The sequence below is a fragment of the Homo sapiens genome, chromosome 3 (assembly GCF_000001405.40).
Source record: "Homo sapiens chromosome 3, GRCh38.p14 Primary Assembly".
NCBI lineage: Eukaryota > Metazoa > Chordata > Mammalia > Primates > Hominidae > Homo > Homo sapiens.
Window position 1 is genome coordinate 35,477,359 of NC_000003.12, and position 26,724 is coordinate 35,504,082.

Consider the following 26,724-nt stretch of genomic DNA (forward strand, 5'->3'; position numbering starts at 1 on the left):
GCAGTTCTTTTATTATTATTATTATTATTATACTTTAAGATCTAGGGTACATGTGCACAACGTGCAGCTTTGTTACATATGTATACATGTGCCATGTTGGTGTGCGGCACCCATTAACTCGTCATTTACATTAGGTATATCTCCTAATGTTATCCCTCCCCCCTCCTCCTACCCCCCGACAGGCCCTGGTGTGTAATGTTCCCCTCCTTTGTCCAAGTATTCTCATTGTTCAATTCCCACCTATGAGTGAGAACATGCAGTGTTCGGTTTTTTTCCCTGCAATAGATTGCTGAGAATGATGGTTTCCAGCTTCATCCATGTCCCTACAAAGGACATGAACTCATCCTTTTTTATGGCTGTATAGTATTCCATGGTGTATATGTGCCACATTTTCTTAATCCAGTCTATCATTGATGGATATTTGGGTTGGTTCGAAGTCTTTGCTATTGTTGAATAGTGCCGCAATAAACATATGTATGCATGTGTCTTTATAGCAGCATGATTTATAATCCTTTAGGTATATAACCAGTAATGGGATGGCTGGGTCAAATGGTATTTCTAGTTCTAGATCCTTGAGGAATCGCCACACTGTCCTCCAAAATGGTTGAACTAGTTTTCAGTCCTACCAACAGTGTAAAAGTCTTCCTATTTCTCCACATCCTCTCCAGCACCTGTTGTTTCCTGACTTTTTAATGATCGCCATTCTAAACGGTGTGAGATGGTATCTTATTGTGGTTTTGATTTGCATTTCTCTGATGGCCAGTGATGATGAGCATTTTTTCATGTGTCTTTTGGCTGCATAAATGTCTTCTTTTGAGAAGTGTCTGTTCATATCCTTCACCCACTTTTTGATGGGGTTGTTTGTTTTTTTCTTGTAAATTTATTTGAGTTCATTGTAGATTCTGGATATTAGCCCTTTGTCAGATGAGTATATTGCAAAAATTTTCTCCCATTTTGTAGGTTGCCTGTTCACTCTGATGGTAGTTTCTTTTGCTGTGCAGAAGCTCTTTAGTTTAATTAGATCCCATTTGTCAATTTTGGCTTTTGTTGCCATTGCTTTTGGTGTTTTAGACATGAAGTCCTTGCTCATGCCTATGTCCTGAATGGTATTGCCTAAGTTTTCTTCTAGGATTTTTATGGTTTTATGTATATCAGTTAAGTCTCTAACCATCTTGAATTAATTTTTGTATAAGGTGTAAGGAAGGGATCCAGTTTCAGCTTTTTACATATGGCTAGCCAGTTTTCCCAGCACCATTTATTAAATAGGGAATCCTTTCCCCATTTCTTGTTTTTGTCAGGTTTGTCAAAGATCAGATGGTTATAGATGTGTGGTATTATTTCTGAGGTCTCTGTTCCATTGGTGTATATCTCTGTTTTGGCACCAGTACCATGCTGTTTTGGTTACTGTAGCCTTGCAGTATAGTTTGAAGTCAGGTAGCGTGATGCCTCCAGCTTTCTTCTTTTGGCTTAGGATTGACTTGGCAATGTGGACTCTTTTTTGGTCCCATATGAGCTTTAAAGTAGTTTTTTCCAATTCTGTGACGAAAGCAATTGGTAGCTTTACGGGGATGGCATTGAATCTATAAATTACCTTGGGCAGTATGGCCATTTTCATGATATTGATTCTGCCTATCCATGAGCATGGAATGTTCTTCCATTTCTTTGTGTCCTCTTTCATTTCGTTGAGCAGTGGTTTGTAGTTCTCCTTGAAGAGGTCCTTCATATCCCTTGTAAGTTGGATTCCTAGATATTTTACTCTCTTTGAAGCATTTGTGAATGGGAGTTCATTCATGATTTGGCTCTCTGTTTGTCTGTTATTGGTGTATAAGAATGCTTGTGATTTTTGCACATTGATTTTGTATCTTGAGACTTTGCTGAAGTTGCTTGTCAGCTATAGGAGATTTTGGGCTGAGATGATGGGGTTTTCTAAGTATAAAATCATGTCATCTGCAAACAGGGACAATTTGACTTCCTCTTTTCCTAATTAAATACCCTTTATTTCTTTCTCCTGCCTGATTGCCCTGGCCAGAACTTCCAACACTATTTTGAATAGGAGTGGTGAGAAAGGGCATCCCTGTCTTGTGCCAGTTTTCAAAGGGAATGCTTCCAGTTTTTGCCCATTCAGTATGATATTGGCTGTGGGTTTGTCATAAATAGCTCTTATTATTTTGAGATACATCCCATCAATACCTAATTTATTGGGAGTTTTTAGCATGAAGGGCTGTTGAATTTTGTTAAAGGCCTTTTCTGCTTTTATTGAGATAATTATGTGGTTTTTGTCTTTGGTTCTGTTTATATGATGGATTACGTTTATTGATTTGCATATGTTGAACCAGCCTTGCATCCCAGGGATGAAGCCCACTTGATCATGGTGGATAAGCTTTTTGATGTGCTGCTGGATTCTCTTTGCCAGTATTTTATTGAGGATTTTTGCATTGATGTTCATCAGGGATATTGCTCTAAAATTCTCTTTTTTGGTTGTGTCTCTGCCCGGCTTTGGTATCAGGATGATGCTGGCCTCATAAAATGAGTTAGAGAGGATTCCCTCTTTTTCTATTGATTGGAATAATTTCGGAATGAATGGTACCAGCTCCTCTTTGTACCTCTGGTAGAATTCGGCTGTGAATCCGTCTGATCCAGGACTTTTTTTGGTTGGTAGGCTATTAATTATTGCCTCAATTTCAGAGCCTTTCATTGGTCTATTCAGGTATTCAACTTCTTCCTAGTTTAGTCTTGGGAGGGTGTATGTGTGGAGGAGTTTATCCATTTCTTCTAGATTTTCTAGTTTATTTGTGTAGAGGTGTTTATAGTATTATCTGATGGTAGTTTGTGTTTCTGTGGGATTGGTGGTGATATCCCCTTTATCATTTTTTATTGCATCTATTTGATTCTTCTCTCTTTTCTTCTTTATTAGTCTTGCTAGTGGTCTATCAATTTTTTGATCCTTTCATAAAACCAGCTCCTGGATTCATTGATTTTTTGAAGGGTTTTTTATGTGTCTATCTCCTTCAGTTCTGCTCTGATCTTAGTTATTTCTTGCCTTCTGCTAGCTTTTGAATGTATTTGCTCTTGCTTCTCTAGTTCTTTAATTGTGATATTAGGGTGTCAATTTTAGATCCTTCCTGCTTTCTCTTGTGGGCATTTAGTGCTATAAATTTCCCTCTACACACTGCTTTAAATGTGTCCCAGAGATTCTGGTATGTTGTGTTTTTTTTCTCATTGGTTTCAAAGAACATCTTTGTTTCTGCCTTCACTTCGTTATGAACCCAGTAGTCATTCAGGAGCAGGTTGTTCAGTTTCCATGTAGTAGAGTGGTTTTGAGTGAGTTTCTTAATCCTGAGTTCTAGTTTGATTGCACTGTGGTCTGAGACACAGTTTGTTATAATTTCTGTTCTTTTTCATTTGCTGAGGAGTACTTTACTTCCAACACTGTGGTCAATTTTGGAATAAGTGTGATGTGGTGCTGAGAAGAATGTACATGCTGTTGATTTGGGTTGGAGAGTTCTGTAGATGTCTATTAGGTCCACTTGGTGCAGAGCTGAGTTCAATTCCTGTATATCCTTGTTAACTTTCTGTCTCATTGATCTGTCTAATGTTGACAGTTGGGTATTAAAGTCTCCCATTATTATTGTGTGGGTGTCTAAGTCTCTTTGTAGGTCACTCAGGACTTGCTTTATGAATCTGGGTGCTCCTGTATTGGGTGCATATATATTTAGGATAGTTAGCTCTTGTTGTTGAATTGATCCCGTTACCATTATGTAATGGCCTTCTTTGTCTCTTTTGATCTTTGTTGGTTTAAAGTCTGTTTTATCAGAGACTAGGATTGCAACCCCTGCTTTTTTTTGTTTTCCATTTGCTTGGTAGATCTTCCTCCATCCCTTTATTTTGAGCCTATGTGTGTCTCTGCACATGAGATGGGTCTCCTGAATACAGCACTCTGATGGGTCTTGACTCTTTATCCAATTTGCCAGTCTGTGTCTTTTAATTGGAACATTTAGCACATTTACATTTAAGGTTTATATTGTTGTGTGTGAATTGGATCCTGTCATTATGATGTTAGCTGGTTATTTTGCTCATTAGTTGATGCAGTTTCTTCCTAGCATCGATGGTCTTTACAATTTGGCATGTTTTTGCAGTGGCTGGTACCAGTTGTTCCTTTCCATGTTTAGTGCTTCCTTCAGGAGCTCTTTTAGGGCAGGCCTGGTGGTGACAAAATCTCTCAGCATTTGATTGTCTGTAAAGTATTTTATCTCTCCTTCACTTATGAAGCTTCATTTGGCTGGATATGAAATTCTGGGTTGAAAATTGTTTTCTTTAAGAATGTTGAATATTGGCCTCCACTGTCTTCTGGCTTGTAGAGTTTCTGCCGAGAGATCAGCTGTTAGTCTGATGGGCTTCCCTTTGTGGATAAGCTGACCTTTCTCTCTGGCTGCCCTTAAATTTTTTCCTTCATTTCAACTTTGGTGAATCTAACAATTATGTGTCTTGGAGTTGCTCTTCTCGAGGAGTATCTTCGTGGCATTCTCTGTATTTCCTAAATTTGAATGTGGGCCTGCCTTCCTAGGTTGGGGAAGTTCTCCTGGATAATATCCTGCAGAGTGTTTTCTAACTTGGTTCCATTCTCCCCGTCACTTTCAGGTACACCAATCAGATGTAGATTTGGTCTTTTCACATAGTCCCATATTTCTTGGAGGCTTTGTTCATTTCTTTTTACTCTTTTTTCTCTAAACTTCTCACTTCATTTCATTCATTTGATCTTCAATCACTGATACCCTTTCTTCCAGTTGATCAAATCGGCTACTGAAGCTTGTGCATTTGTCACATATTTCTCATGCCATGTTTTTCACCTCCATCAGGTCAGCTTTTCTGCTCTGATTTTTCCCCATCTTTGTGGTTTTATCTACCTTTGATCTTTGATGATGGTGACATACATATGTGGTTTTGGTGTGGATGTCCTTTCTTTTTGTTAGTTTTCTTTCTAACAGTCAGGACCCTCAGCTGCAGGTCAAGTGGACTTTGCTGGAGGTCCACTCCAGACCTGTTTGCCTGGGTCTCAGCAGCAGAGGCTGCAGAACAGTGAATATTGTGGAACAGCAAATGTTGCTGCCTGATCGTTCCTCTGGAAGCTTCGTCTCAGAGGGGTACCCGGCCGTGTGAGGTGTCATTCGGCCTGTACTGGGGGATGCCTCCCAGTTAGGCTACTCGGTGGTCAAGGACCCACTTGAGGAGGCAGTCTGTCCGTTCTGAGATCTCAAACTCTGTGCTGGGAGAACCACTGCTCTCTACAAAGCTGTCAGACAGGGGCATTTAAGTCTGCAGAGGTTTCTGCTGCCTTTTGTTCAGCTATGCCCAGCCCCTAGAGGTGGAGTCTACAAAGGCAAGGAGGCCTCCTTGAGCTGCTGTGTGCTCCACCCAGTTTGAGCTTCCTGCTGCTTTGTTTACCTACTCAAGCCTCAGCAATGGCAGACACCCCTCCCCCAGCCTCGCTCCCACCTTGGAGTTTGATCTCCGACTGCTGTGCTAGCAATGAGTGAGGTTCTGTGGGCATGGGACCCTCTGAGCCAGGCACAGGATATAATCTCCTCGTGTGCCATTTGCTAAGACCATTGGAAAAGCAGAGTATTAGGGTGGGAGTGACCCAATTTTCCAGGTGTCATCTGTCACAGCTTCCCTTGGCTAGGAAAGGGAATTCCCTGACCCCTTGTGCTTCCCAGGTGAGGCAATGCCTTGCCCTGCTTCAACTCATGCTCGGTGGGCTGCACCCACTGTCCTGCACCCACTGTCCAACAAGCCCCGGTGAGATGAACCTGGTACCTCAGCTGGAAATGCAGAAATCACCCATCTTCTGCATCTCTCATGCTGGGAGCTGTAGACTGGAGCTGTTCCTATTCAGTCATCTTGGAACCACCCCAGGCAGTTCTTTATAGCACTATGAAAACGGACTAATACAATACTCATGCCAGCACTTGTTATCTCTTCTCTGTTTTATAAAAAACATCCTCACAGAAATGAGATGATATCTCATTGTGGTTTTGATTTGCGTTTCCCTGATGATTAGTAGTATTGAGCACTTTTTCATAAACCTATTGGCCATTTTTTATGTCTTCTTTAGAGAAATGTCTATTCAGGCCCTTTGCTTACTTTTTATTGGGTTATTTGTGGGTTTTTTTGCTATCGAGTTGTGTAAGTTCTTTATACAATTTGGATATTAACCTCTTATCAGATATATAGTTCACAACTATTTTCTCTCAATCCACAGGCTGCCTTTTACTGTGCTGTGTCTTTTGCTGTGCAGAAGCTTTTTAGTTTAATGAAGTCCCACTTGTTAATTTTTGCATTTTTGTCTTTGCTTTGGTTTTCACATTCTTTTTCGTATCTCTTTGCTTTTTAAAATTTTATTTTTTGTATTGTTTATATTATATATACTCTGCCTTATTGATTTATAAATTATTAGTCTTGTTTTTATTTTAGTTTTCATTACTTTTAATATAAAGTAGTCATATACATATGTATTTACAAAAGGATAAAGAATAATTGATCATTTAATATCAATTTTTCATATTATACTGCTTTGTGTCAATTTTCCCTTTTTAAGAATGTGGGATTTCACAGAAGTTGCTCTTCCGTTTTGACTCACATTTGGTCTCTGTCAGAAATTATTTTGGTATTTCTATGTCTCATAAATTATCAGCAAATAAGGCATAGATTCTATGTTTATAGGTTTTATTTTCCATAATCCTTTTTCCCCCAATGGTGTGTCTTCTCATTCGTAATATTTTGGTTTTCATTTAGTCCTATCAATCACTATATTTCTTCAGGTAACACTTTCAGGAAAGGAACAAGGATGGTAAATTTTCTGAATTCCTGGATATCTATGGATGGCTTTTTTTCTCGGCATAAAAACAACAACTTGCACATAGAATTTTTCCCTCAGAAATCATAGAAATTTTCCTTTTTAGCCAATACTTATTATTGCATAAATTCTGTTGTTGATAATTTTTATTTTTATTAGAGATAGCTGGGCAATAATTAATATTGTGTGTTTGTGTGTGTGTGTGTGTATTCCTACATAAGTGCTTGGAGAAAAACCATTTGGACTTTTCAAAATGTTACCATGTTTTGGTTTATTTTCTTTCATTTGCCTGAATTTCAGTAATTTCTGTTAAACATATTCTATATTCTATTCTCAGAAATGCTCAGTATTATTTTTAAATATTTTCTTCTATCTTTTTCACATACTTTTTCATTATATACACATAATGACCCAGACTTGTGAGCTAAAGCACAGAGGATTTCATAGCTTTTCAAGACTGATTATATTACAATGCCCTTCTCTATTCTATGAGAAAATGAATACATTCAGTTAATATTTTATAGATAGACACATAGATAGGAAAAGTAAAACTCAGAGAGTTCAATAATTTGTGTCAAGCAGTGTCACATAGTATGTGGAAAGGGAAAATACTGAGGTTATAAGTCTTTAAACATGGGGCCATTTTTGTCTAATAGTTCTAATTTTTCTAATTTCTAACATTAAAAAATTTTCTAAAGAAAATCTCTTTAGAAGATTTTGGAGGAAAACTCTAATTTCAACTCTGATACATCTCAGGAGGGACACTTTGGAGAATGGCAGGTCTGAGTGAATAGGTCTCACACACCACTCACAAGGAAAAGAATCAATTGTAAATTCCTCTGCATGCAGCTTTGCAACTTGGCTCCTAAGTCAAACTTATGCTTTTTCAGTAAGGAGTCATTGCACTAGCTAAGGAGTCATTGCACTAGCAAAGCAGTCATCAGCTTATGTAAATTCCTGTGGTACAAAAAAGAGATCTTTAAGCTGCTTATTACTTTATTATTGCTGAAAGAAAAAAAAAGCAAGGCATAAAGAGAAAAGGGGGTGGGAGAATTAAGGATCTAATAACAGTGAAAGCTTGCTGCCGAACTTGTGTCTCTTGCTGTGTTTGAATGATTTTTCTTTGTCAACAGCCTTGCACTGGGCTATTTTTAGTATCTCTTTAATAATTGAGCTGTAGCAATTGTGCTCAGCAGCTGGAACAGGCAGGGAAAATAGCAGCTCAAAGAAATAGTGCAGCAGGGTCATAATTTAAGTCAAGCTGCATTATGGAGCATACCTTTCTCAAAGGTAGAATGCTGAGGTTAAAAGAACTGTGGAAAGTGGAAGGAAAGAAAGACAAAAATAAGTGATGGATGCTGCTTTTATTATTATTATTATTATTTGTATATTTTTAAAACAAGCCTGAAAAGATGTCTCCTTGGGCAGGTTCTTTTGATGGCAAAGAAAGTGCAGATGGAGGGCCCTACTACTTTATGTGGCAAACAGGACAGGGAAACTTGGATTGCCAGCAGAATTGATGCTTACCTTATTCCAAGGGCTGATTCCTGCACACCACAAACCTCACAACATTGTAAGTGGCATGACAATAAAGTTGAAATAGTTTACTTTAGCCACTGAAAAGGAAACTGACTGTGATGAAGAAAGGAAAATCTTACATTCCACAGCATTTCCCCGTCCACTTTTGGATGATATAGTTGGGTTTTGCATAGTCCAGTTCTCAGATGCATCATCAAATACCTGATTTAGGTCATTAATCCCAAGGGAGTGGTATACATCTCACTTTGCTGAAATACTTGGCTTTATGTTGCCAATTCTCTCCTAGTCTCAGCCTGCTTAGCTCAAAGTGACATAGAGGCTTGCCAAATGAAGACTTATATATGTCCATATATTTGACCAGTGGAGACATTCAACTTGGATAATTAGAAAAATAAAAATAACAAATAAAGAAGATCAACAATTAATTAAATGATCAGATCAACTAGACTGCTGCCAAATTGTTTATGTCTTTGGACCAGGAAAAGATTGCTAAAGGTTAATGAGGTCATGAATGTTCTTCCTTGGCACTTCAAACTTTTCCCCACTTACATTTTCCCTCTTTTCTTTGCTTTTCTATAAACTTCTGTGTGCTTCACTACCTCCATTTGTTGTCCTTACTTGCCTCCCTTCTTTACTGTGTTTTCCTCTGCCCTTTTCCTTTCCCTCTGCTTTCTGCCTGGGGTTTTATACTGGAGCCCTAACCAATAGGAGGAAGTTTTTAGGCTGAGTTGGGTTGATGTGACATTTCATCCGATAGAGGTCAATGTGACAAAGGGAATTTCTGCAAATACCCATGCATATACACAGCCTATTAGCACAATATAGGAATGGTGAATGGCTACTCATGATTGCTTACATGACAGAGAAACAATTTTCCCACAAGTCTGTGTCCTTTAATTATCAAAATGGCCATTTACTTCAAAGCTAGTTTGGGGGATTTTTTAAATAGAAAGCCAGTATAATTTTTTAAAATTGCACACATTTCTTAAACATCAGGGTAAATGTTAACTCATGCTTTATTTTAAGTTTACAAAAAACAAGAACGAAGTGGAGGGAAGGACTGGTTAAAATGTCAGTCCTGACATTGGTTTAAATACCTAATATATGTTTTTAGATCTTTAGGTGACCAAAAAAGGAGAGTTTTCAGGTGTGACAAACAAAAACCAAAAGAATGCAGTTGGATCAGTGTGAAACCTGATCTATATCAGAACTCCCTTTTTTATATGAACTCATTCTGTAAGAATTGGTCTGTAATGTAGGAACAATTGGATTGGACTGCTTGGATGAAAACATTTTCAGGAGATACAGCGAGGATGAGGGGACATTTGTAAGGCTGTCTTTGGATTTAGTCTTATTTATTTATTTATTTATTTATTTATTTATTTATGCCTCTGAGTTGTTCAACACACAAGGCATGCAGGTGCTGACTTCTTCTGGCAGGCAGGGAGAGATATCCATATATCATTACACTTGCAGGCATTTACGAGAATACCAATTTTCAACCTCACAGACTTTCCTGAAAGTCCAGCACAGCAGCCAGTTAGATCCATAAAATTGAAAATGAGATCCGATGGGTTCCAAGGGATTAGAACATCAGAGTAGAAACCTGTCCTCTATGAATTGCCTAACTCTGGCCACAGAATTTAGTTGCATTCTGTATTACTTTCCCAGGGCTTCTGTAACAAACTACCACAAACTTGATAGCCTCAAACAACATAAATTTATTCGCTCACAGTTCCAGAGGCCAGAAGTTCAAAATCAGCATCACTTGGCCTAAATCAAGGTGTCTACAGGGCCAGCCTCCCTCTGGAACTCTAGAAGGGAATCTGTTTCTTGTCTGTTTTTAAACTCTAATGGCTCCTGGCATTCCATGATTTGTAGCACTTCACTCCCATCTCTTCCTCCAAGGTCACATTTCTGCTTCCTCTTCTGTCTGTCAAATCTCCCCCTGCTTCTCTCGTATAAGAACACTAATCATTGAACTTGGGGCTCACTCAGATAATGCAGGATAATCTCCCATTCTCAAGATCCTTAATTTAGTTACATCTTCAAAGATTCTTTTTGCAAATAAGGTAATTTTCACAGCTTCCAGGGATTAGGAATGAATATATTGTTTAGGAAGGCACTGTTCAGCCACTGCACCCTCTTAGTCCAATAAAATGCCCCCCAGATCCATTCAGACTCCATTGACATCCTAGACAAGACATTTTACTCTGCTGTTGTTTTTTCCTACATAATGGTAATAATAAAAAGAATAGCTAACATTTATTGAGGGATTGGCATTATGTACTCTTGTAAGAGAATTTTGTATTAAACTAAAACTTATGAAATTGCTAATGCTTATCAGGTTTTGGCCCACAGAAACAGCAATTTCATTTTATTTAGTCACTTATGTTCACTCATTTAAAATTCCTATTTACTCTATAAGAAACTGACTATTATTATTCCCAGTTTACAGATAAAGAAACTGAGGTACAGAAATGTTAGGAGACTTACCCAAGGTCATATATGAAATGTTAGTAACATCAGTATTTACCCTAGATGGCCAAAGTCCTGCACTCCTTTAACCTTCCTCCAACTAGGCTTTTCTTCGCTCACTAAAGGATCTCAGCCTTCAATTGCTATTGTTATACAGGAGACATTTCTGTGGCTCATGCAGGATGATTAACTGGAGGCCAACTTTGGTTCATGTAAGTGATCAGATCATTTTGTACCCTTTGTCTAATCTGCAAAGTACAGAAAATGAAAGAAGGTGGAATGTATGAAGGAGGTGAAAAAGAAAACGGCAAAAAAAAAAAAAAAAACAAGGTACAGACAAAAAGACAAAAAGTCAATTAAAAATGGAAGAAAATAGAAGAGGACATATATATCTTGAATGGTGCTCCAATCCCAAAAACTCTTCTAATGATTTACTTTACTAGTTGTGTAACTGCACAATATCCTTGTGAGGCTTTAATTGCTGTCCCAAATTTATAGCTGGGAATTTATGTTTGTCATCAAGTGATTCAGCTACTAGAAACCAGATATCCAAAGTATAAAAGTGAGAAGAAAAAGGAGGAGGAAGAAAAAGAGGAGGAGGGAAAAATGGTCATTAGTTCATTATTTTTCAAATCATGAAGAAGCAGACAAAATACTCAACAATCTATAAGTCTGCACTGGATCTCTGAAAGCAAACGCCAGCATTCAGTTTCTTAATTCAGAGATTAAGAAGTAAGGGGGACAAAATCATAATCATACAGTCCATGGGTAAGAAAGGGCAGATGGTGAAAGAAGACATATACATGTATACACATATGTACACAGAAACATGTATATACGGATGTGTGTATATATGCACATACATGTATTTGTGAATGTGTACACATGTGTATATATACGCACATACATATACAAACATTAAGATTTTCATAAATTGGCTGGGTGTGATGGCTCACGTTTGTAATCCCAGCACTTTGGGAGGCCAAGGCGGGTGGATCACAAGGTCAGGAGTTCAAGATCGGCCTGGCCAACACAATGAAACCCTGTCTCTATTAAAAATACAAAAATTCGCTGGGTGTGGTGGTGGGTGCCTGTAATCCCAGCTACTTAGGAGGCTGAGGCAGGAGAATCACTTGAACCTGGGAGGCAGAGGTTGCAGTGAGCTGAGATGGTGCCACTGCACTCCAGCCTGGGTGACAGAGCTAGACTCTGTCTCAAAAAAAAAAAAAAAGATTTTCATAAATTATGTTAATTAAATAGGAAACAAAAAGTAAAAGAAGAACAGGCTCAGGGAGAAATGTCTATTCCACACCAAACTATGTTTCACTAATCTTTAATGAAAACAGTAAATAAGGCCACAATAAGAAATATGACATTTTTTTTCTCTGATTTTCTTAGTGTCTTATGTTTTATATGGCAGCAAGAACTGGAGATGGAGGATGTCTGGTCCCCTGGAAATAAGTCTCTTTAAAAAGAACATCTACAAATATGTAGAGAGTACACTGTTCTTGGGGAAAAGAATGGGATGCCCTCAAATGTCATCTATTTTCAATGTCAACTTTTGGAAAAATTGTATCTCCGCCTTACATTAAGGTACAGTGATTTCTTTCCTAAATACCATCTGTTCAGGTAGCATACCTGCTGAAAGAAATTGTTACTTCAGTTCTTTGACATATGCTTTGGTTTTGTTCTTATGGGAACTGCAATATTCTTCATTGCAAGCAACAAAATGTTAACTATGGTAACTGTCTTTTAAACTGATTATATTTTTGTTAAATAATGACATATTTCCTACCAATTAAGAAGGAAGGTATATTCACTATAAAGAATTTACAAAGCTGGACAATTAAAAAGAAAAAAATGAAATGAATCCCAACACCCACAGATGACCACTATTAATATTTTCTATATTATTTTCAATTCTTTATATGTAGGTACACATATTATATAATGTAGTAATGCTGTATATAGAGTATCAGTTTCATCTTTTTTACTTTACATTAATCTTTTCTGAGCTTAAATACTCTTCACAATGTGATTTTAAGTATAATAGGGTTTCTCATTAATGTGCATATTGGTCAGGGTTCTCCAGAGAAGCAGAACCAATAGCATGTGTTTATAGATACAGATATAGCTTTATATTATGGAATTGCCTCAGTTAATTATGGAGTCTGCTAAGTTCAAAATCTGCAGAGTGGGCCAGTGGTTTGGGAGACGCAGGCAGTGCCAGTGTTCCAGCTTGAAGTCCCTTAAGCAAAAACAGCCCATGTTATATATGAAGTCTGAAGACAGTCAGTTGGAGAATCCTCTCTTACTTCAGGGAGGATCAGTAATTAAATTCTATTCAAGGCCGGGCGCGGTGGCTCACGCCTGTAATCCCAGCACCTTGGGAAGCCGAGGCGGGCGGATCACGAGGTCAGGAGGTCGAGACCACGGTGAAACCCCGTCTCTACTAAAAATACAAAAAAAAAAATTAGCCGGGCGCGGTGGCGGGCGCCTGTAGTCCCAGCTACTCGGGAGGCTGAGGCAGGAGAATGGTGTGAACCCGAGAGGCGGAGCTTGCAGTGAGCCCAGATCGCGCCACTGCACTCCAGCCTGGGCGACACAGCAAGACTCCGTCTCAAAAAAAAAAAAAAAAAAAAAAAAAAAAAAAAAAAAAAATTCTATTCAAGCCTTCAACTCATTGAATGAGGCCCACTCACGTTATGAAGGGCATTCTTCTCTATTCAGATCCACCAATTTTAATGTTAATCTCAGCCAAAAACACTCTCACAGAAATACGAGGAATAATGTTTGACCAACTATCTTGACATCCCGTGGCCCAGTCAAGCTGAAACATAAAATCAATTATCAGTTATAAGAATGTATATTCCTTTATTTATTAAATCAAATTAGATGAGTGAATATTTAGGTAATTTTTAAATACATGGAAATTTACAGTAAATCACTCCCCTTCTCCCATTATATACACTGGTATTTTATCACACAACTCTTCCTACTAAGAAAGGGCAGAGCTTTTTAAAACACAGCAAGCACATCCTGCTCCACTTGCTACCATCAGCTAGACTTGATGTGTCATTGGAAATGTATTCCATATTTTTTATTCCATTGTTTCTGATCTCCTCATGTGAAATCATCTGTTTCTAGCTCCCATTTTTCTATTACCCTGAGGTGATACAGTACATGGACCTTCACTGTACCCAGCATGCCCTAATAGGTCCTTCTTGACATTTTCTCCTGCTTTAATTGTAGGAGCTAAATTCTATCAATATTCAATGCCTGTCTGACCATCTTTACCGTATCTCTTAAGCCTATTTTTTCTTTGATTCTTGCTTTCAATGAATAAAAAATAAAAAGTAAGGACAAGGTGTGGAAATGGGAGGCACTATTGAGGTAAAGAGAATAAACAATGCTCAGACATCTTGAAAAACAGCACATGTGCAGGAGAGGTATAGCTTGGCATGTTATTTTTCATTATTAAATTTAAAATTATTTGGTCAAGGCAAAATAGAGGGAGATATGCCAATTTTCTTTCTAACTCTTGCAACACCACCCACCCACCTCCAAAACTATTTTTTATGAAGTATAGTCTAGTTATTCATCAGAAGTATTTCAGATATGTCTGCAGCTGTGTTTTTATTTTTAATCCGGCTAAACTGGCCTCTTTATTAGAATACGTTCTCTCTAAAATCTGGAATTAGGTTTTCTATCAGTGTTGGTAATACTGTTATCTGCATTCATATTTTCATATATATATAATTTGAGAAAAACTGCTTCAGAACCTGCAAATCAGACACAATTTTAACCAATAACATGTTTTAAATATGAATTCACTTCACTGTCATCTTGAGCTGTTACGTGCACACTACAATCCACAAAGGCTAGTGACCTAACAAATTGAAGTGACTTGATAGACTTAAAGTTATTTCTTAATGCTCTATTGTAGATTTTACATTTGCAACAGTAACTAATTGCACCTAATATGAAATCTAATTAAGACTTCATTGTACCATCTGTGTTCTTTCATTAAAAGACATGTACTATTAAACATGTATTGAAAAGGAGATACTGAAAGAGTTACTTAAAATTCATTTCCTTCCATTCTCAAAGACTGGATAGTGGCAGAGTGTAATACACTATTGTTATATCCAGTCTTTAATAGCTCCTCAGAGTCATAGCTAATTTTCCTATTAGTTACAGAGTAGAGATTGCACCACCAAATTAAACCTCACAATTTCAGCAATAGGGAAGGGAGAGAAATACACACATTCACATTATTGAGAAAAAGGAAAACAGCTTTGGTAATGCACACACACAATAATTTTCTGTAGGTGAAGTCTTTTCTTCTCTCACCTCATTTAATGCAAATAATAAATATTTTGTTTATTGTACTAGAAAGTTTTAAGATTTCCTCTGCCTACAAATGGACCAACCTCTTAATTGTTATCTCTTGGTGTTACATGATGCAAAAGTTAGCAGGTAAAAAGGAAGGAAATCAAGAAACACATTATTGGAGTGAAATCCACACACCTGCAAAAAAAACTGACTACCATGATTAAACCCACACTAGCATGTCCTATATTTGGTTTGTTTCTCCTCTAATGGTCACTTTATATTTACAAAGAAATTACTGTTTTTCAGTGTTTGTCAAGATGCTGAAATCACTAGTAGAGGATGTTCTCACAGTCTCCTAGTCTTTTTAAAAAGCTAAAAAATAACTGACATTCCCCCTATGTAGGTCTTAGACAAAAAATGCCCTAAGTGGCCTCCAGTTTATTTATATACCAGCAGCTGCAGTCACGTCATCAAGATGCAATAAAACCATCTCTCAGTTTTGCATGCACCTGTTGTTAAAGGGAAATCTGAAACAAATGATCAGGGGCTGTGGGGTCTTAAGTGACAGTGGGACACCAAAATAGTGGATCTCTGGCAATAGTTATATATTTTCAGGGAAGCTGAGCTGGTGATATAGGCATCAGTCGTAAGGGGTTTCCTCCCTTGGTCCTGTGTTAAACTGACCTCCTTATTCATACATGGGTAATCATCAGTTTTCTGGTGTAAAACACAAGAAAATTATGATGGACCAAAGCCTATTTTCCCTTGTTTTTTAAGCTTTGTATCCTGTTGCAGAAGACCCAGAAGCATGTAACAGACTTTTGACAAATTTCAGTGACTGATGGAGCAGCAGGAACTTTAGACCCTGATTCAGGACAATTGCAACCCACACTTGTGAAAGGTGGTTGTCCCATTAGAGTATCCAACAGACTCATTTATGATCGTGGTATTCATAATAACCATATCTAATAAAGCAAGCATTGTTTAGTGACCCTAGAGGATACTTAGGTTCCCAGATGTTGAGTGATTTGCTCAAAGTTACAGAGTACATAGCTGATGCAGAATTAGCATCCAATTGTTAGAGCAACTCTGAAACACCTGGTCTTTTACACACCCCTGAGTTTGAATTCTGACTTTATCATGAGTTTTCTGTCTAAAACTCAGTCTCCTTGTCTGCACATGGTTTGCTATGGGAATCAAATACCATAACTTATATCTGACAACAACGAAGCAACAGCAACAAGAACAATGTGAAAGATGTCTAGAATTATATCTGGTATGTAGCAAGTTACCTTTACAGGCTAGTTCCCACCATCTCTATGAGTGAGCACACATATATACATAAAGGAAGTTTAAAGGAACCTGTAAGGTTCCAGGTCTCCTCTGAAGCAGGTATCTCAGCTCAGACACACCCACCACAGTGAAGATTAGGCTCCGGATCTGGGAGCAGTCAGTCTGCCCTTTGATATAAGGTCCTCAATGTGAGGTGCTCACCACCTTCCTGACCACCTCCTATTCCCTCCCTTTGGGAAGCTGAAATGGAGCCCAAGAGGGAGGAGCATTAGTGGTCATTTGAAGCCATTCTCATGAGAACAAGTGAGAAATATTTGATTCTGCAAAGAGAATTCCATGCTTTTCTGGTTTATTTTTATTTTCAAATGAAGAGAGTTTGATAAATCTTTTGACAATATGTGACTTTCAGACTTGAAGTACATTCTAAAAAGAATATCCCACAGTAGACCCCTTACATCCAAACACACATTAAGATGCTGAATCTCCTTCATCCTTGCAAAGTAAATTCTGTGGCTAAAATGCCTAAGTTCTCTTTATCAACTGTCAGCAATAAGCCATACTTTATTCATAAGCTAGGCTACAGGCAGGACCTGAGAAACCTTAGCATTTTAAGCATATTTAGAAATTCCTTATTTCCATTGCTTTTACATAAAATATAACATTACGATAACATTGATGATGTATAAATGCATTGGGCTCTTGCTATTTGGCAAGCACCGTACTATTCTAAAACATGACAAACAACAATATTCTGTGATAGGTAATATTAGTACTCCCATTTTATAAGGAAAATAAAAACCAAAAAGTGCATAGTGGTCACTCATGGCAGCCACTTATATTGCACTTACCGTATGCTATCATTGTACTATTTATCTTTGCCTCTACCTACCTATGCATATATGTCATATATGTATATATAGTATCTATGTATTCTTCACAACAACCCTATAAGAAAAGAATTTTTTTATCCTCATGTGACAAAATGGAGGTAAGTAGATAATAAGTCACTTGCTCAGACTCACACAGTAATAAGTGGTGCAGAACAGACTTGGGCCCAAAAGTCCAGTTCAGAGTCCATACTCTTAATCACTGTGCTATAATGACTATTAAGTGTTCAGAAAATATTTTTTTTAAAAAAAGGATAAATGTAAGGCCAGGCTCAGTGGTTCATGCCTGTAATTCCAGTACTTTGGGAGGCCAAGGCAGGATGATCACTTGAGGCTAGGAGTTCAAGACCAGTCTGTGCAACAGCAACACCCCCTCTACAAAGAAAAAAAAAAGTATAAAAAATAATTAGCTGCATGTTGTGGCTCATGCCTGTCTTCCTTGCTACTCCAGTGCCTAAGGCAAGAGGATTGCTTGAGCCCAGGAATGTGAGGCTGCAGTGAGCCATGATAGTACCACTGCCCTCCAGCCTGGGCAAAAGAGCAAGACCTTTTCAAAACAAAAACAAAACAAAAAACAAAGAAATGAATGGATGGGTGTACTTTCCCATGGTGATGATGATGTAGCAAATAAAGAATGGAGCAGAAATTCCTGCTCTTATCCACGATGCAATTATGCGTCTCACTTTATTCTAAAATGATTTCAGTTGGCATGGATTTTCCCTTAAAAAACAAAATACTCAGTTTTCTGCATTCATCAGTGATATGGTGAGACATTAATTGCAAGGTGAGCGTAGAGCCTCCTAGAGAGTGCAAATGTATTTTACCTGGTGTTCTTTTCAGTAATTGGATAAAATATTCTAAATATATTGTGGAAAAGTTAATTTAGAAATCAGAAATTAGCTAACAAACTCTCCTGTGAACAGAAGGAAGAAAGTCACTTGGTTTAACATGACCAATTTTAATATTTTAAGATATCAGAAAGGACAAGAGGGGCTGATAGAGACAGAATCTATAGGGATTGCCTGTGATGGGAGATCCAGTGTAGTATGAAAAGCTAAGCTTTTATTATTCATACTTTTCAATTTGCAGGTAATGCCCGGTTCCTTAAAACTGGGAAATCTTTGAAAATTTTAATCCTTTCTAAAAATATAGACTTTATTTTTAGACCAGTTTTAAGGTCACAGAAAATTGAACAGGAAGTACATAGCTTTTCCATATAGCCCTTGCCCCTACACATGAATAGCCTCTTCTGTGATCAACATCCCCCCATCAGTGCTTCATCTATTATAATACAACTGATGAGCCTAGGTTGACACATCACCACCCAAAGTTAATTCTTTATATTAGGTTCCTTTTTTGTGTTGTACATTTTATGCGTCTGGAAAACTGTAAAACAACATGTATCCACCTTACAGTATCATACAGAATATTTTCACTGCCTTAAATATCCCGTGTTTCGCCTATTCATTGATCCCTTCACCCAACCCTTGACATTTACTGATCCTTTTACTGTCTCCGCAGTTTTACTTTTTCCAAAATGTCACGTATTAATAGTTGGAATCATACAGTATGTAGCCTTTTCAGACTGGCTTCTTTAGTAATATGAATCTAAGTTTCATCCATGTCTTTCATTTCTTGATAGATCATTACATTATTTCAGTGAATAACATTTCATTTCATGTACCAGATTTTATGTATTTATTCACTTACTGAAAGACACTTGGTTGCTTCTAAGCTTGACATTGTGGATAAAGTTGCAATGAACATCTATGTGCATGTTTTTTTGTGGAGATGTGTTTTCAGTTCCTTTAGACAAATACCAAAAAGTGTGATTGTTGAATCATATGGTAAGAAAACGTCAAGTTTTGTAAGAAATAGCTAATCTGTTTTCCAAGGTGGCTACCCCACTTTGCATTTCCACCAGCAATGAATGGGAGCTCTTGTTGCTCCATATCCTTGTCAGCATTTGGTGTTTGTGTTCTGGATTTAGCCCACTGTAATAGGTGTACAGTGGATCTCATCTTTGTTTCGCTTTGCATTTCCATAATGTCATACAACGTGGAGCATCTTTTTATATGCTTGGTTGCCATCTGTATATATTATTTGGTGAGTTATTTGTTAAGGTATTTGACTCATTTTTAATAGTATTTTGTTTCTTATTGTTGAGTTTTAAGAGTTCTTTGTATTAGGTTGGCATAAAGGTAATTGTAGTTTTTACCATTACTTTTGTACAAACCTAATATATTTTGGACAACAGACTTTTATTAAACATGTCTTTTTCAATTTGTTTTCTATACTGTAGCTTGTCTTCACTTTTTATTCTTTTTGTACCATCATTCACAGGTCAGAAAAATTTAATTTTAATGAAGTTCAGCTTATCAGTTCTTTCTTTTATGGCTCACATCATTGGTGATGTATCTAAAAAAGTATAGCCAATCCTATGTCATGTAGATTTATCATACGTTGTCTTCTAGAAGTTTTACAGTTTTGTGTTCTGAAAAAGCTGCTATAAGATTAATTAAGAATAAGAAAAATAGGCCAGGTGTGGTGGCTTACACCTGTAATCCCAGCACTTTGGGAGTCCGAAGCAAGCAGATCACCTGAGGTCAGGAGTTCGAGGCCAGCTTGGCCAACATGGCGAAACCCCATCTCTAATAAGAATACAAAAAAAATTAGCCAGGCATGGTGGCACACACCTGTAATCCCAGCTACTCAGGGGGCTGAGGCAGGAGAATCGCTTGAACCCAGGAGGCAGAGGTTGCAGTCAGCTGAGATCACACCACTGTACTCTAGCCTGGGTACAGAGTGAGACTCCATCTCAAAAAAAAAAAAAGAAAAAAAAGTTTTTTAAAATTTCATTTTCACTTATTTGTTCTCCAATACTGTTTCTGTATGTAGACCTGAGTTTCTGCCCAATGTCATTTTCCTTTTCTCTAATAAACTTCTAATCTTTCTTTCAAGACTAATATACCAGGAACAAATTCTCCAGATTTTTATGTCTGAGAAAGTCTTTATTTCTTCTTCACTTTTGAAAGATAATTTCACAGAATACAAATTTCTAGGTTGGTAATTTTTTTTCTCTCAACACTGTAAATATTTTATTTTACTCTCTTCTTGTTTGCATAGTTTAATCAGATTTAATTCTTATTTTTGCTCCTCTAAGTGTAAGGCATTTTATCTTCTGGCTTCTTTTAGGATTTTCTCTCTTTAATTTTCTGTAGCTTGAAAATGACATGCACAGGTGTAGTTTTGTGGCATTTATTCTACTTGGTGATTTCTGAGCTTCTTGGATCAATGGTTGGGCATCTGGCATTATTTGGGAAAATTCTAATTTCTTATTGTTTCAAATATTTTTTGGTTCCTTTCTCTTTCTCTTTTTCTTCTGGTAATCCCATTATAGATATGTCATACCTTTTGTAATTGTCTCGCAGTCCCCTTGGATATTGTTCTTGTTTTGTGTTGTTGTTGTTTGTTTGTTTGTCTTTTTTACTCTTTGCTTTTCAGTTTTGGAGGTTTCTATTGAGTTATCCTAAAGCTTAGAGATTCTTTACTAAGACATGTTCAATCTGCTAATGGTAATCTATGCCCATCAAAGACATTCTTTATTTCTGTTACAGTGTTTCTGATATCCAGGATTTTTTGTCTTCTTTTTTGCTTAGAATTTCTCTCTCTCTCCTTACATTGTTCATGTGTTCATTCATGCTGTCTACTTTATCCAGTACAGCCTTAGCATATTAATCATGGTTGTTTTAGTACCCAATTTGATATTTTTAACATTCTTACCATATCTGAGTCTGGTTTTAGTGCTTGTTCTATCTTTCAAACTAAGTATTTCGTTTGTAGTATGTCTTGTAATTTTTTTCTTCATAGCCAGACATGATGTATTGGGTAAAAGGAACTGCCAGAAATAAGTCTTTAGTATGTGACAGTGAGGCGTGGGGGAGGGAAAGTGTTCTATATTCCTTTGATCAGGCCTTAGTCTTTTAGTAAGCCTGTACATTGGATTGTGAATTTCACAAGTGTTTCTCAATATCCTTCCTGCCCCAGTGGGACAAGATGGCTAGATTGGGCTGGAGCTCAGTATTTTCCTTACTCCCCATAGAAGGCTAGAGCAGCTGGAGTGAGAGATTTCCCTTTCTCCAGGTAACTTAAGCTCTGAGAAAACCCCAGCAGGTTAGACTCTGTTTAAATAGTTTCTCCTGAGGGCAGATTTTGTTAAGAAGAATAGAATGTTCTGGTGTGTTTCAGGATGGTTATTTTCCCCTCCTCCTGCCAGAAGCAAGACAAGATTTTTCTTTGATAATCACTGTGACGTTCTGGTAGAGCTCCTGGAGGTAAAACTCACAGAAACTCACAAAACCGGGTTCCCCTGGAGTTTTTAAAGCTAAGTTGTCTACACTAAGCCTCAAGCAATTGAGTTGTCTACACTAAGCCTCAAGCAATTGTTAAGTACAGCTCAGGTTTTCCTACTCCAGCACTGTCTCCTACAGAAGTTGATGCTCATGGGTTTCTGTTTCAGAAAATTGTGATTCTCTATATTTACCATTGGGTTTCTCCAATTTGGTGGGTAGCAGTTTGCCCTGGGACCTTACTTCTCATATAGCTCTAGGAAGAATTCTTTATTTTTTTAGTTTTTTCACATTTACTTGTTGTAGGATGGAGTGGCAACTACCAAGAATCTACCAGAACCAGAAACCGAATGCCCTTTCCCCCTCTAGATCCTCGATATCTCCTAGATACTGGAGGAATAGATTATTTTGGTCAAGTGAATTCAGGTTTAAAATCTAAATTTAAATTTATGTAGATATGCTCAGCTGGCTCTTCTTTTAAAATAATTACTATTTGTATGACTATCAGAAAATATAGAAAAGCAATAAGATGAAATTTAAAAACCAATATTTAATTAATATATGGATGTATATTCTAACCAGTGTTAATTGCTTATTTATGTCTGTATTTTACAAAGTAAAGATCATACCTTCATATTGATTTGTTTATATATAGTCATAATTTATAATGTAATATATTTTTCAAAACAATTTCAATGAAAGCAGAGTATTTTATCAGGTAGGTGACCATACTATGTTGACTTAATCCCCAATTAAACATTAAGTTTTCCTGTTATAAACAATAGTATAGGGAGCATTTCTGAGCACTGTCTGCATCTTTTAAAGGATCTTCACATTAACTGTTTCTCAATAATTTAATGAGGGATTAATATCTTAAGAAAAAAGCTTATGAACACTATTTTTGCAAAGTATATCAAAATAGAAAAAACTAGAAGTGCTATGTGCTATTTATTTCATAAGCAAAAGCATCAGTCAGGTCTAAATTCAATACATGGTTATCAAATAATAGTAGTCTAAATTTTATCTTTATTGCAACAGTTGAAAAAAAAACCTTATTACTCAGATTATTCCAGTTTCAGTTTAGCGTATTTGAAATGATAATTTCATGATGTTTATATATATTATTAATGAGCCCATGTAAAAAAAAATAGAGAGATAGCATATTCTTTTCAAAAAAATTTCCAAGTAATCACCATATGCAATTAACACATTTTAAAGGAAATTGGAATTTTATGGAATGACATAAACACCATCCATGTGCATAATACTTTAATCTGTATTAAAGACCATGTAAAATTTGAAAAATCACTTACTATCCAAAGATAATTTAAAATTTACAAAAGCACTTACATGTTCACACATTAGTGTTCATTGAAAGTACAGTGAATAAAATGAAACATATACTCATATAAAACACCCGTATTCCCCAAAAAGAACAAACATACTCAAGTTTATATTACCAGTATAGTTCCACTTCACTATTTCTTGCTGTCACTTAGCAATTTATATTGGTTAACTAATACCTCTTTTAAAAAGTAACTATCCCAAGGAAGTTTAAGATAAATGTTCTCCTTAGTGTGATTTAGTTTGGTTGTTTGTTTTTAATATTTAGCTGAATTTATTGTTCCTAATGTGAACAGCTGATACTCTTTGGGTAAGAGGAAGGGTTGAGTGTGGACAGAGAAGGTTGCAGTTTGTAGCTCTTCATGAAAGTCCAGTCCTGGCTGTGGTATGAGATTGGCATGTAACCAGACAACAGCTGGAGGACACTTTCTTAGTGTTGTTACTCTACAACTACTCACTCTATTAATGAGTTACCAAATAAATACTTGCTTTTCTAAGAGGGAGTGGTAAAAAAAAATGAGGTAAAAAAAATCTAAAAGACAAACTATTTTATCAAGCACTGATTTCTCATCATTTTCTCTGTTCAGGAAATACCCACAAAAAGGTAAAACATTTCTCTCTCAAGAAAGTGACTTTGAGAGATTCTGGGCGTGAAAGCAGGCAAGAGTTTTCTGCACAATCAGAGACTGAGTCCAAACGTAGCCTCAGCCATTCAGTCTTAGGCCAGGCGTGGAAAGTCTGTTTTGCAAGCTTCAGCTGTTTTGTAAGCTGATGCTGGGGAGCATAAGGGAGGCTAGTGAAGCTGATGAGATGAAGAGCAAAGCTGGTGGAGTCCAATCAGAGTGAGGTTAATAAGGAAATTCCAGCCAAAACATGGTAAGGAAGAACTGAAACAGTGCCCAAATTCTGGCAATGAGTTTTGTGGGAATGAGTTTGAAATCAAACTCTAGCTAGTTGCCTGGAGTATCTTCCTGGACTGCCAAGTGGTTGCTCGTGCTTTAGATGGACACCTTGGTTTTCCACATGGAACATATAGAGTGAAGAATAACTCATGGGTCTTCTACCCACCAGGAGTGTACAGTTTATTAGTTCTAAACCAGAGACTTGCTGGCTTTCACAGGTGACATTGTGGTAATGTTGGAGAGCACTTCTTGTCCAGTGTGTGATTATGTGGCATACATCTGTAGTCTCAGTTACTCAGGAGGCTGAGGCTGGAGGATTACTTTAACCCAGGAGTTTGAGCCCAGCCTAGGTACCATAGTGAGACCCATGTCTCTAACAATAACCAACAACAAAGTTGGACTGGAGTTTCCATTAAAAAAAAAAGACAACACCACTCTTTTACACTGCCAAAGTCTCCATGTTTTCCTTATTTCCAGTTATCTCATTGTTCATATCATAACCTCTTCCTAAATTCCTTCACAAGACTTTTCTTACAAGGATTTTTAAAAAGTCTATGACATCAGGCTGCTTCTGATATTGCAAGCAAGGTCTCTAGTCCTCTAAGTTAACTTGGATGTAAGGCTTTAATCATCTATTACAGTGATTTGAAATGGTAGTGGGTATAAAATTCACCTGGACAGCATATTAAAACACAGATCATTGGACCCTATGCCCAGAATCCCTGATTTAGTAACTTTAAAATTGGGCCTGAGAGTTTGCTCATCTAACAAGTATTTAATTGATACTGATGATGCTGAATGAGGGACAATTTGAGGAGAATTGATTGAAAAGACCCTTGCTTATTATGGCATATAAGGATATGTCTGCATCTTCGTAGCTGTATGTATATACAAGTGTCTGGCTGCATGTAATATATAGCTAGACACATACAGTCAAAATGCCATGAATTACAGAATTTTACACATTTCATTCAGCAAAACAGAAAACTGGGAGACTAGATAGGTCACTTATGAAACTTAGACAATGTATATTTTCAGTTTTCTTATTCTTCAGTCAAGCATGTTCATTGAGCATCCAGTTAACACATACTGAGTGAGAATATATAGAAAACCCTTGAAATATAGGGTGACTAAACTCAAAGAGCAAAAGGATAAATCAACAATGGCTAACCCAATGATCGGATATTACTGATTCTTATCTAATAGTAACCATCAGAAACATCAGGGAAGCTTTTACAAAGCATATATACTCAAACCCTACTGCAAAGTTTTAAGATCCTTGGAAGGTAATGAATTAGTGAAAACTGCTATAGAAAATAATAATTGAGGAAACTGAATAAGGACTGTAAGTTTCTCTAAACTTACTAATTCCATTTGTTTTCATCTAGGTTATTACTAAGTAGGAATCACACTTTCTCTCCTGTTATTGAGAAGTTCATACTGTCATCATGCATGTGTGCCAAATGCCTCTAGTGCTTTGTGACACACTCCCATGTATTTCACCCACAGTTGCAGAGGGCAGTTCTTTGAAAGTTCAGACTCACCTTGCACTGCCAGCCTGCACCAACAAGTACTAAGTCCTCCTGAATTCTGCCAAGGGCCTTCTGTTATATTCCAGTGCTCACTGGACCCATGTTTGTATGCTCTTTCTGAAAGTACAAGGGAGGTAATACCCAAGGGATAATCCTCATCCAATAGGCAATGAAGCCAGTGGATAAATGCCAAGGCTGGCTATTCATCTGCAGGTGGGCAGTTCTGGAAGCTCTTCTACCTGCTCCTCAGGAAGCCTCAAGAATGGAATGAAGTCCCTATTATTCACAGGAAGCACATTGATGACAACTTTTTATCTGACTTTTCTTTTACTTCCTTGTTCTATTCACTCATTCCTGGTTCTTGAGGTCACTTCCCAAATTAACCTCCAGTACTCAAGTCCTTTTCTCAGACTCTATAGGGAGCCACAGATTAAAACATTTCGTGGTGTAGAAAATTGGCAAAATATGTATTACTAAAAAAAAAATGCAGCTTCCTAGTGAACTTTTTTTTTCAAAAGATGGTGTGCATGAAGGCAGAAGCAATATAAGGATATATAAATATTAGTAGCCATTTGTTTAAGGATTAATAAATTTGAATTAAAAATCATGGATTTCATCAAAAGGAACAAGATACAAATTTAATAGATTGCAAAATTTGACTCTTATTCTTACCTAAAAGGAATCTGAGCAAATAACTGGTCTCAAAGTAATAGTTAACAAAGCTTCAAAGCTTTTAGGTTATTCGCTATCACAAACTAAACAAAGCAAAAGAGACCAGACATTCCCTTTATGCTGCTGGCTTCTGCCACTTTTCTTAAGACCTCTATTGCCCCTCCTAAGCAGATAATAAGACCTGTGATGCTTCATCTAGATGCACAGAGCTTATGGTGAGAACAACAATTTAAAGGGAGGCAACTCATGCTGATGTAATTGGTGTAAATCTTGGATTGAATCATAGTGTCCTAAGATTAATCTAATTTGTAAACCAGTGGCATTTTTTGTTAGTCTTTTTTTCCTTAACCTTATGTATGTCACTAGAATTTATCAAATCAATATAATCAACATCCTGGTAATGACTGAATTTGAAGGGAAACCAGTAGTATGCTGGATATTAAGAGCAAAGCCATACAAAGATAGACAATTAACAAATCACCATACATGTCTGAACATCAAGGCTTATTTTGAAAAGCAAAAGGTCAACAGTGATTATTC

At 37.1% G+C, this 26,724-nt stretch overlaps 1 annotated feature.

Moving 5' to 3' along the window:
* Nucleotides 5,186-5,720: an enhancer, noted in NCBI's record as "NANOG hESC enhancer chr3:35524036-35524570 (GRCh37/hg19 assembly coordinates)". NCBI's record gives its function as "activates a minimal SCP1, AML or CMV promoter by ChIP-STARR-seq in naive H9 embryonic stem cells {active_cell/tissue: H9 hESC(naive)}" and the evidence as "EXISTENCE:reporter gene assay evidence [ECO:0000049][PMID:30033119]".